The sequence below is a fragment of the Homo sapiens genome, chromosome 22 (genome assembly GCF_000001405.40).
Source record: "Homo sapiens chromosome 22, GRCh38.p14 Primary Assembly".
NCBI lineage: Eukaryota > Metazoa > Chordata > Mammalia > Primates > Hominidae > Homo > Homo sapiens.
In genome coordinates, this window is record NC_000022.11 from 42,167,999 (window position 1) to 42,180,141 (window position 12,143).

The 12,143-nt window shown below is 47.2% G+C and overlaps 1 protein-coding gene across 10 annotated transcripts in view; it reads right to left on the reverse strand.

Annotated features, from left to right (window-relative positions):
• TCF20 (transcription factor 20) overlaps positions 1–12,143 on the reverse strand; it is a 183,525-nt gene that overhangs the window by 7,986 nt on the left and 163,396 nt on the right. For 5 of the 10 annotated variants that reach the window (XM_047441474.1, NM_005650.4, NM_001378418.1 and 2 more), the window contains 3 exons: positions 11,611–11,704; positions 1,849–1,898; positions 611–738 (listed from right to left, as the gene is read on the reverse strand). In XM_047441474.1, the coding sequence (XP_047297430.1) occupies positions 655–738; positions 1,849–1,898; positions 11,611–11,704 (228 nt within the window). In that variant the 3' untranslated portion in view covers positions 611–654. The remainder of the gene's footprint in view (positions 1–610; positions 739–1,848; positions 1,899–11,610; positions 11,705–12,143) is intronic. The other 5 variants (XM_047441476.1, NM_181492.3, XM_047441478.1 and 2 more) reach the window with 2 other exon arrangements.

Sequence of the window (12,143 nt, forward strand, 5' to 3'; positions counted from 1 at the left end):
TTACAGGTATGAGCCACCATGCCCAGCCTCGAGATTTTTAAGAGTAAAATTAAATCAGATGCTAGAGTCTACTAAATCTTTGAGGATTTTTCTTTCCTTTGTACTTCTGCAAAAAGGAATCCTTCATAATACTGGAAAAAAAAGATTTCTAATAACAAAACCCAAGAGTTCTGTTGTTTTCAAAGGAAAACACACCATAAGCTTTACAGAAATGTAGTAAATTAAAAAGAAGAGACCTTTGACTGGAACCCTTTCTGAGACGGGGGAAAGAGCAGGGGCTACTGGCAAGAGATGCCCTGCCCAAGAAAGAGACCTAAAAGCCTGTTGTGTCCACTCACAAGGCCACCCCTGGCCAGCTGTGCCCTGAAGGGCTGCCTTCAGGAACAGTCACCCTGCACCCCATTGGCAGTGGACAGTTTAGAAGCCCCCACTCCTTTCCACAGATAATCTGGGGAGCTAAGTAACCAATGGAAGAACACTGCATCCACCTGGCGTTGTCATCCACAGGATGAAATGCTGGTGGCAGAGCATAGAGCGAGCAGGAGGGCAGAGGCAACGACGCCTGCTGGGAGCCGGGCAGGATGCAGGGAGCCCGGTGGCCCCGACTCACCTGTGCTTGCTGTCCTTTCCATTCCCACGAGCACACTGCCCCCCTCACCCCCGCTCCGACTGCTCTGTGCTGAGGCTGCCTTTCGCGGTCTTGTTCTGCAAGGGGGGGAGAGGGCACGGAAGGGGAGGCTGACACGGGCAAAACCAAGAGGAGACAGACAGGTGGGAGAGGACAGTGCAGAAATCAGGGAGGGCAAAGGGAGGACAGGAGTGGCACATGGAAAAGGAAAGAAAAGGCAGAGTCAGTCCTGACCGACAAACAGGAGACATTCAGACAGGGTTTTCTGAGGCAAAATGTGACCCTTAAAAAGGGGAGTTCTAAAAATAACATGCAAATTAAGTAAAAATAAAGAGAATATAAGATCCTGTGACCACTCCCCGCCCTTCCCCAGAAATAATTTTTAAAGAAAAGCATAAGCAAGCATCTTTCAGGAGCATTTTGAGGGCAGACCTCTCTGGACAACCTCCTTCTAGTACTTTCGGCCCTACTAGATTTAAGACTGCGAGTGACCAGTGACCACCAGGTGTCAGTGTGACCTCAGCCAGAGACACAGTGCAGCCCCTGCAGGAAACATCAGGTGGCAGTGGTCTCCGTTCTGATCCTTTCTTGGGGCTCCTTCTCCATATACACCCTCCCCACACACATATGTGGTATCCACAAACAGACCATTCACCCCTTACCTCCCACCCTTTCCTAAAGGAAGCGACCACGAGACCACCTCCTAAATAAACTGGGAAGTGGAGCCCGAGACAGCCCATCCACTGTGCATCAGGCTGCTTCTGCAGAAGCACAACCTGGAAGAGACTGAGCTTCCCCAGAGCCTTGTGGTCAGCTCGACTTCTAGTCTGGGAAGATGCCTTTGCACAGGCCTCAAGGCCTAGAACCAGACTTACCAAACGCCAACCTGTGAATTGGGGTTCTATTCACCTCAAGTGGAAATCAGTGGCTTGATCGAGTTAGATATTCTCACCTCTCTTAATGAACAGACAAACACCCCCTCTCCCAAAACACATTTCTCCTGGGATCCTCATAATACTCCGAGTGCTGGCCCCCATGCCACGGGTCTCCCTTCAGCATCATGCCCCTCCACCCTCCCAGGGCCAGGAGGGGACTAACAGCCGGAGGCACAGGTGGGGACAGGTGTGGGTGAGGCCCACCAACACCTGGTCTTCAGGTCTTTCAGGAGGAGCCACCCTCGATCCCATCCCTGCTGGTAGCTCTTGGGGCCTCTGACTCACCTTGTGCTTAGGGCACCTCACCGAGAAGTTCTCCTCATGTAGCAAACAATCTGGAAGACAGAAGGGGACAGTCAGATGGAGACTTCACAGCTGGACATAGGTGTGGTCATGCTGGCTGGGATTGACAGGGTCAGACATAAAGGTAGCAGGTCGCTACACTTACTTCTAATAGGAAAACATTAGAGACAACCCAAGTAAGCTATGATACCTTAACATGATGGATATCGGTCACTTAAAAATTAACATTTGAAAAGAGTTAATGGTATGGAAAACACCCATGAAACAAAACTGCTTGAAAAAACCAGGATGTACAAATGTATAAATGTGCTAATTTTATTAAAATGTTTCTACGCATTAAAAAAAGACTTGGGGCTGGGTACCATGGCTCACACCTGTAATCCCAGCACTTTGGGAGGCCGAGGCAGAAAGATCACTTGAATCCAAGAGTCAAGACCAGCTTGGGCAACACAGTGAGATCCTGTCACTATTAAAAAAAAAAAAAAAAATACTGAAAGGCTGGGTGTGATGGCACTTGCCTATAGTCCCAGCTACTTGGGAGGCTGAGGTGAGAAGACTGCTTGAGCCCAGGAGTTCAGACTGCAGTAAGCTACTATCACATCACTGCACTATAGCCTAGGCAAGCAAAACTGTCTTAAAAAAAAAAAAAACTACTTGGGAGGCTGAGGCAGGAGAATCACTTGAACCAGAGAGTCGGAGGTTGCAGTGAGCCGAGATCACACCACTGCACTCCAGCCTGGTGACAGAGCGAGACTCCGTCTCAAAAAAAAAAAAAAAAAAAAAAAAAAAAAGACTGAAAGGAAATCTATGAATATGTAACAATAATTCTCTTTGGGTAAGAAGATACAGCTGATTTAAATTTTATCTTTTCTATATTCCCACGATATCACCAATAAATGCTATTTTAAAAATCCTTGATTCTAGGCTAACCCCATTTCTCAGGCTCAAGCCAAAGCCTCCTTGTAAAAACACTTTAAAATCTAGACGCGTATTTTCTTCTCTGTACAGAGAATGCCCAGGTGTCTGAGACAGAAAGGTGGCCAGGCCCAAGAGCCCCACTGTCACCTTTGCCCCACGACCCACGGAGACACAGAAGCCTCCAACACAAATCACATAATCCACACTAAATGCTTCAGAGGAAGGTAAAATCCCATGAGGATGCTTTTAATCCTTGGAGGAAAAATGATTCATTCCAACTTGTAACATGATGACAGCATCCTGGATGGCAGCAAGGACACATCTGCCTCCAGGTGAGCTGAGCTCTCACACAAGGGTAGTGCATGGATCAGGGCAAGGAAATCTAATTAATGAGTTCACTCTGCACACCACAGCTCCTGGAGACCGACAGCCAGGTCACTGGTGCAAAACGCGGTGGCAGAATGTTAATAAATATTGATAACACATTCTCAGAGAGCTCCCAGGCACCATGGCAGGAGGCAGCCACGGTACTTATCCTTGTTAAATTTAAACTGAGATCCAGACTAGCAGCCTGTGCACCCACAGATTTCAAGTGCAATAGTAATAAGCAATGAACATACACATGAAAACTTTTCAGGTCCCGGTATCCTAAAACAAATCAAAAAGACCCTTTTATATTTGGCCAGACCTGGAACATCATAGCCTGTCTTTCGTTGGAGCCCATGAGTATCTAAGAGAGTGGGCGGCAGCCTTCTTGGCTCCGTGGGCCCAAGAGCTCAGCAACTTACTACTAACCTCCAAGCCCCTCCCCCAGCAAGCAACTAGCAAGGCAATAAATGAAATGTGTTAATTTAAAACCCACAAGTACATAGTGTGACCAAGACTCCCGCTGCTCCAATCTGCCAGAGAGTTTATAAACAGCAGGAGCCAGACAACTGGAGCTCAGGGGATATGCTCTCTTCTTACCTGGGCTCTGGCAGCAAGCACTATGCTGGCTTAGTCTCTAGTTTGGGCCAAACAGAAACAGTACAGCACACGTGGGGCTGGGCCACGCTTACGCCACAGGGGTTTATACCAGTGAGGACAGGGACCACACGAGCAGCAAAGGGTGCCATCAGAAAGGCGCAGGTGGCTCAGTTCCCTCACGGCCACAGAACAGTGACCAGCTGTGATGGACCATTAATAAAACACGCCTCATGTTAGGAAATGCGTTCCCTCTGAGTTAGAAGCAGAAAAGAGTAAGACACTATGAATGCACGCTAACGACAACTTGAAACTAATGCCAGATACATCTGGAAATGAAGTCTCCTACAGCAATCTGCCTGAGGCAGTGTCCATCTCTGACAAGGCCTCCCATGCAGGAACACTGTGCAGACAATGCCCTCCTCTGTTCTCATACATGTCCACAGGCCGTCAGGAAGCACAATTCACGTTCCTGGCAGGGGCCAGAACCACAGCTAGAGAGCTCAGAAACCTGGAGGGCACAGGGGAGCTTCTCCTCTTACCAGTCCCTGCTGGGAGGGAAGAGTGAAGAGCAGTAGGTGTAGTAAAACCTCTTCTGAGGACTCTGAACAGGCAACTGCACCTACATGGCCAGCCAGTCAAGGTCTCTCAATCTGTGTTCTTCAAGGCCCAGGCACCATCCTACACTGTCCAGAGGGCGCAGTCAGCACTTCTGCATAGTGAAGTCAAAGTAAACAGCTTGCGAGATCATCATCCAAGCTCAAAAAGACCTACAAGGTGGCCTAGTCAACAAGATGGCTTGCAGACACAAACATCAACCCCCAGAAGAGAAGGCCACTTTCATTTCCCTCTTCAAGCTCAAAGGCAGAATGGATTTACTAAGCTCCTCATTATAAGCTCTGTGAAGCTTCAGATACCCACATGCATCCACATGCTCCCAGGCTGAGGATGGTGGGCTCAAGGAGGGAGGTAGGAAAAACAAGAAGGGTTTAATGTCCTTTGGATCTGTTGTGTAGCAGACACAGACTCCAATTCACCTACACTCTACCCCAGTACTACTGTTATTCCTTATGTTGGCACACTGCAGGGCTTGGGACACAGGGGCCTGCCAGCCCCACCCTGCCTTGCCGAAGGGTAGGCTCAGGCTCCTGGGCCATAAGGAGGGAAATATGGGGCTCTTGGCACTGGGACTGGCTCCTGTGAGGCAGACGGCTGTCCCCCGGGGAGGAGTCAGACTACTGGCATTTCCTAATGACCCATCCAGGGCTCTGATGGCACCAGCAAGATCAAAGTCTGCAGCAGAGATAGCAGCTTTAAAATGCTACTGCAACGAGAGCTGCAGAAAGTAGAATTCCCAGCTGTTTTTTCATGAGAGTAGAAGAAAAAAAAAAAACCCTCCACACAAGGTTCTTTACGCACAGTGGAATTATTAATGAGCTACCACAGCCTTTTTTTCTCGTCTTAATTGTTGTGGCTCATTGCATTAAATACATTAATTAAAAAAAAAAAAAAACAGAGCTCATGCTCTTATTACTGTAACCCCCCCCACCTGGAGCCAAATCCTGTGCCTATGACATAACAAGCAACACAAAACAGCTGACCATGATGTCAGAAATGCAGGGTCAACATCAGGTGGGGGGGAAGGTGGCAGGAGTCACAGATCATGAAACAAAGATTCTGTTTCTATGGAGATGTCCCAGTAATAAAAGTCTTCCCTGAGACATCAACAGCTCTTTAAAGATCTGGGTGGGTTGACAGCAAGGCAGAGATGAAAATGTTAAACTGCTCTTTACTCCATAAGGGAGGTTAGGGATTCTCAAACCAAGGACTTATTTTTGTTATGATTAGAAAGAAAAGTCCATCAATAAACTTGTTTCCTGGATACAAAGTTACATCATACACAGAGAGCAATTTCCAAGAAGACTGTGTGGAATAATACAAGCGTCCATCCCCACAGAGCAGTGCAGGCCTCTGGGTCACTGTGACTTGGGTCATCAAAAAGACCGCAATGACCAAGACATGGTCATCTTGTGAAACTGCCTCTGGGTCCCAGGTCTCCACATGAAGGAGCAAAGTGCACAGCAGCAGAGGCAGCAAAGCCAGAGGCCGACAGCCCTACCCTCACTCCTCCCAACCCAGACCCCTCTGTCTTGCTGGACACGCGGCCACCAACTTCTGTTAAATAGAGATGCTACCAGCTTAACTAGGCAGGCTACCAAGATGGGCCCCAAAACAGAAAATGACAGACACCATTTACTCACAAGTCCTCAGCTAATAATGAGGGTCCTGCGCTTCTCTGCTGGTGGGCTGGGGTGACAACCTGGGCACAAGCTTCCACTAGAGGAGAGGATGTTCCAGTGCTCTATGGCCCCTTCCAAAAAATCCCAACCATATTGCCTGAACTTGGGTTGAGGAGGGTAGCTCTAAGCCTGTGCTGTTCAGCCACTAGCCATACATGGCCACTTAAGTTTACATTAAAAAAAAAAATTCATTTCCTCAGTCCCACTAGCACTCAATGATCACATCTGGTTTGTGGTTACCACATTGGAGAGTGCTGAGCTAGAGCGTTTCCATCATTGCAGTATGTTAGGCTGAGCTTTGCTGCTTGACATCTTAGAAGCTGGACCAGAAGGCAGGCTATCAGCAGAACGGGGGCAGCCTCCAGGGGGGCCCTTGCTGAAGTGTGCTCGGGTGGGATGTGGCACCGGCCTGTCAGCACACCCTAATGTGTCCCTGAACACAGCCTCAGTGGGGGACCACTTCTTACCCAGCTGCGAACTGGGAGAGCCAAAACTCACAGTATTCCCAATATAAAACTAACAATCAACCATAAAAAAACTTAATACTTAAAAATCCTCATATATAGCTGGGCATAATGGTACATGCCTGTATTCCCAGCTAGTTGGGAGGATCGCTTGAGCCTAAGAGTTTGAGTCCAGCCTGGGCAACACAGTGAGACCCTGTCTCAAAAAAAATTTTTTTTTTTTTCACTTAAAAGCCATTTTCTTGGCCAGGCGCGGTGGCTCACGCCTGTAATCCCAGCACTTTGGGGGGCCAAGGTGGGCAGATCACAAGGTCAGGAGATCGAGACCATCCCGGCTAACACGGTGAAACCCCGTCTCTACTAAAAACAGAAAAAATTAGCCGGGCGTGGCGGCGGGCGCCTGTAGTCCCAGCTGCTGGGGCGGCTGAGGCAGGAGAATGGCGTGAACCCGGGAGGCGGAGCTTGCAGTGAGCCGAGATCGCGCCACTGCACTCCAGTCGGGGCAACACAGCGAGACTCTGTCTCAAAAAACAAAAAAAAAAAGCCATTTTTTTCAACTAGAAACAAAACTTTATATTACTGCTCCCCCTCTTTCCTGGCCACTAGACTACAGGGAAGAAAACACAATATTACGATGTAACTAGAGGTAATGAAAATGAGAAAAGGCAACTGGTTGGCTCTTTTAAAAACTTATTTTTATTTGAACAGACCTGTTCTTGCTATGTTATCCAGGCTGAACTTGAACTCCTGGCCTCAAGTGATCCTCTAGCCTCAGCCTCCCGAGTACCTGAGATTACAGGTGTGAACCACCATACCTAGTTAACTGGTTAGCTCTCTTTCTTTTTCTTTTGAGACAGAGTCTCGCTCTGTTGCCAGGCTGGAGTGCAGTGGCGTGATCTCAGCTCACTGCAACCTCCACCTCCCGGGTTCAAGCGATTCCCCTACCTCAGCCTCCCAAGTAGCTGGGACTACAGGCACGCGCCACCACACCTGGCTAATTTTTCATATTTTAGTAGTGACAGGGTTTCACCATGTTGGCCAGGCTGGTCTCAATCTCCTGACCTTGTGATCCGCCCACTTCGGCCTCCCAAAGTGATGGGATTACAGGTGTGAGCCACCGTGCCTGGCCCAACTGGTTAGCTCTTGAAAGAGAAGGATTTAACAGCTGTACTACAGAATATGGCAGACCATGACCCAGGGTAAATTACACCTTAGACTCAACATGAAAACATTTGGAGGAAAAAAGAGAACAGAAGGGATGGACTAAAACCCAAACTCCCTGAACTGACATTTCAAGGCTACTTCATTTTTGTTTTGAGATAGGGTCTCACTCTGTTGCCCAGGCTGGAGTGCAGTGGCCCAACTGAGGGTCATGCAGCCCCTCCTGGGTCCTTCCATCTCAGCCTCCCTGGGTAGCTGGGACTACAGACAAGGGCCACCACGCCTGGCTAATTTTTTGTATTTTTTGTAGAGACAGGGTTTCACCATGTTGGCCAGGCTGGTCTCGAACTCCTGGGCTCAAGCAATCCTCCCACCTCAGCCTCCGAAAGTGCTGGGATTACAGGTGTGAGCCACCACACCTGGCACTCTGTTTCTGATTCCCTATCTTTCCGTTGATCAAATAGTGCCTTGGCCATCAAGCTGCCTTTCAGTCCACATGTACGTGTGAATACACACACTTTTGTAATAGTCTAACTGGCATCAGCATTATCTTCTCTACCTCTCTTGTTCTTTTTAACTGTTTCTCCTACAGAAGCTTGGAGAGAAAAGAGGGAAGGGGGAGGTAAGGGCAAGAAGGATGTGAAAGGAATGGAGACATATGCTTAAACAAAAGTCAGGAGCTGCAAGCAACTGCTGCGCTGGAAGGAAGGGGGGGGCAGGATGAATTCTGAGACCTGATCCAAGTCTGTTGGCCCTGCTCTGTGTATGTTATGCCTCACGCCTGTTCCCATCATGCAGTCAGCCACGCCCTCTTCCCCTTCCCATCAAATTCAAATCAAACCCCGCCTCCTATGGACAGCGTGGCTGCCTCCGTGGACAGCCCTGCTTCTCTCCTGGGGAAGCACAGAGAGGGGGCATGCACATGACAAGCACCATGCTACTTGCTGCCTTCTCTCACCACTTTTCCTCAAACGTGACCACAGGCATTATGGGGGCTGCCTGGGTGATGGTCTTAGATACATCTAATGCTCAAGTAACTAGAGGACATTATGTCAAGTGAAATAAGCCAGGCACGGAAAGTTAAAAGCTGCATGTTCTCGCTCATGTGGAAATTTAAAAAGCTGATCTTACGGAAGTATTAAAAAGTAGAACAGAGGATACTAGAGGCCAGGAAGGGGAAAGGAAAGGAAGAGATAAGTAGAGATTTGTTAAAGAATACAAAATTACATCTAGATGGGAGAAATAAGTTCTAGTATTCTGTATCACTGTAGGATAACCACAGTTAACAACATTATATTGTATAGTTTCAAATGACTAGAAGATACCAAATGTTCCCAACACAGACATGTTGTTTGAGACGATGGATTTGCTAATTACCTAGGTCTGATCATTTTATATATATATTGAAACATTACTGAGCACCCCATATCTACAATTACTGTCCATTAAAAAAAGTAAAAAACGCTGGGCGCGGTGGCTCACGTCTGTAATCCCAGCACTTTGGGAGGCTGAGGTGGGTGGATCACCTGAGGTCGGGAGTTTGAAACCAGCCTGGCCAACATGGCAAAACCCCGTCTCTACTAAAAATACAAAAATTAGCCGGGCATGGTGGTGGGCGCCTGTAGTCCCAGCTACTCGGGAGGCTGTGGCAGGAGAATCACTTGAATCTGGGAGGCAGAGGTTGCAGTGGGCTGAGATCATGCCATTGTACTTTAGCCTGGGCGATAAGAGCGAAACTTCGTCTCAAAAAGAAAAGTAAAAAACTTAATAAACTTGAAATTAACACCCACCTTGCCGCCAAAAAAGTAACTGGGGAAAACACCCACTGAAGGGACTAAAAGTCTAGAGTAAGAAAGGTGATTTTCCCAGGTTATCGAAGCTCTGAGTCAAAACTCAAGTCTTCTGCGTCACTCATTGGATGGCACTTCTTTAACAAAATGTTTCCCTTCTTTCAACAGTTAACACACTGCAAAACATCCCCCTATCATCTCAGCAAAGAAAATACAACACTCTATTGTATGTATACAACGTACTGTGATTTAGAGTAAGAAATACATATTTTAGTCTTCATCCCTGATTCCTGGCACAGACCTCCTAAAACCCGTGTAAATTCCTGAGCAATTAGGGGTGCTAGGAGCATCTTTTCTTCTAATATTTGGTTTTTGATCCTGGTTCCTGACATGGAGCTCCTAAACCCTTGGAATTTCCTGGATAGGAGCACTTTTTGTTCTAAGGCTACTCTTGGTGGTTCCTGGATGGGGGCTGGGCACCAGAGAGACGAAGCTGTGATTAGCAGCTTGGAACTGTTAGCTCTACCCACCCCACTCCAGGAAGGACAGAGGGGGTGAAGATTGAGTTAATAATTGATTATGCCTACATGATGAAGCCTCCAAAAAATCCGTGAACTACTGGATTCAGAGGGCTTCTGGACTGCTGAGTAGATGAAGGTGCCTCAGGGGTGGTGCCCCTGGAGAGAGCATGGACGCTCCATGCCCCTGCCCACACATCTGGCCCTATGTTTCTTTCATGTGGCTGTTCATCTGCATCCTTTATAATGGGTAAACACAAGTGAAGTGTTTCCGTGAATTCTGTGAGCCATGTTAAACATTAATCAAACCCAAGGAAGCGGTCTTGGGAACCCCAGTTTATAGTTGATCACTCAGAAACACAGGTCATAACACAGGGCTTGAGATTGGTATATGAAGTGGGGAGCGGTCTTGTGGGACTGAGCCCTTAACCTGTAGGGGCTGCACTAACTCTGCTTAGTATCAGAACCAAGCTAAACTATAGGACACCCAGTTGGTGTCCAATGGTGAATTACCTGTGTGATGCTATCAAGAAAAGAAAGTAAAAAGACAACTCAGAGAATGGAAGAAAACATTTGCAAACCACATATCCAGAATTACAAATAATTCTTTTTTTTTTTTTTTTTTTTTTTGAGACAGAGTCTCACTCTGTTGCCCAGGCTGGAGTGCAGTGGCGTGATCTCGCAACCTCTGCCTCCCGGGTTCAAGTGATTCTCCTGCCTCAGACTCCCGAGTAGCTGGGACTATAGGTGCGCGTCACATCTGGCTAATTTTTGTAGTTTTAGTAGAGACGGGGTTTCACTATTTTAGCCAGGCTGGTCTTGAACTCCTGACCCCATGATCCACCCGCCCGGCCTACAAATAATTCTTAAAACTTGACATTAAAAAGATAAACAACCCAATTTTACAATGGGCAAAGGATGTGAATAGCTATTTCTCCAAAGAAGATGTACAAATGGCCAATAGGCACAAGAAAAAAATGCTCGACATTAGCCATCAGGGAAATACAAATAAAAACCACAATGAAATAACATTTCATACCCACTGGGCTGGCTACAATTAAAAAAAAAAAAAAAAAGAAACACATATGACAGCAAGTGTCAGGGAGGACCTGGGGAAAGGAGAACACTCATGCACTGCCACTGAGAACGTAAAATGGGGCAGCCATTTTGGAAAACAGTCTGACAGTTCCTTAAAAGGTTAAACAGAGTTACCATATGATCCAGCAATTCTACTCCCAGGTACACATCCAAGAGAACTGAAAACATGTTCACACAAATGCTTGCATGTGAATGTTCTATAGCAGCATTATTCATAACAGTCAAAAAGTGGAAGTAACCCAAATGTACAGCAAAGCCCACAGAGATAGAAAGGATTGAGTCCAACAGAGCTTAAAGGGAAAAAAAAATCATAAAAATTTAAAAAAGAAAACAGAATAGTGGTTGCCAGGGACTGGAGGGAAGGGAAGGGAGATGAGTGCTGCTAATGGGTGGGAAGTTTTTTTATGAAGTGACAAAAAAAAAAAAAAAAAAAAAGAAAAGAAAAGAAAAAAAACAACGACAACAGAGAGAATCAAACTGTATGTCCTAATCCTTTGGATGCTCTGGACAAGGGTCTGTGGTCTCCTCTTACCTGCATCAATGGCACACGGGTAATGGTATCGGAAGGAGCAGCCTTTGTTGTAGCAGCCCAAGGTGGCGCCTGCCTCCTGGCAGTGGGAACATTTCTGAAAGGAAGGGAAAAGTCAGGCATGTCAGTATCCCAGATTTGGCCCTCTCCTCCAGGCCTTCCCTGGTCCCCATCTGTTAGACCTCAGCACGTGTCTCTGTGGTTAGAGGAGTCCGTGGTGGCAGGATGAGCTGGTCAATTTCTAAATGCCATTCACTGACCACACCATGGGAAGGGATCCAGCAATAATGTTTTAGACCAAGCCTCACAAATGTTCTCAAATCAACAATACAGCAGGGTGAGATGAGCAATCCATGTCATAAAGGACATGCCAGAGTGGGGTCCCCAGCCCTGCCTCTGGTACCCCCGCCATCCACCCACCCACACACTATGCCAGGCATTTCCTTGCTGCTATCGTGAGCGGCCTGCAGATCTTCCCTGTTTACTTCTGCTGTGAAAATCTGGGGTAAGAGAGGGTAAGGTAGTAGAGTTATATA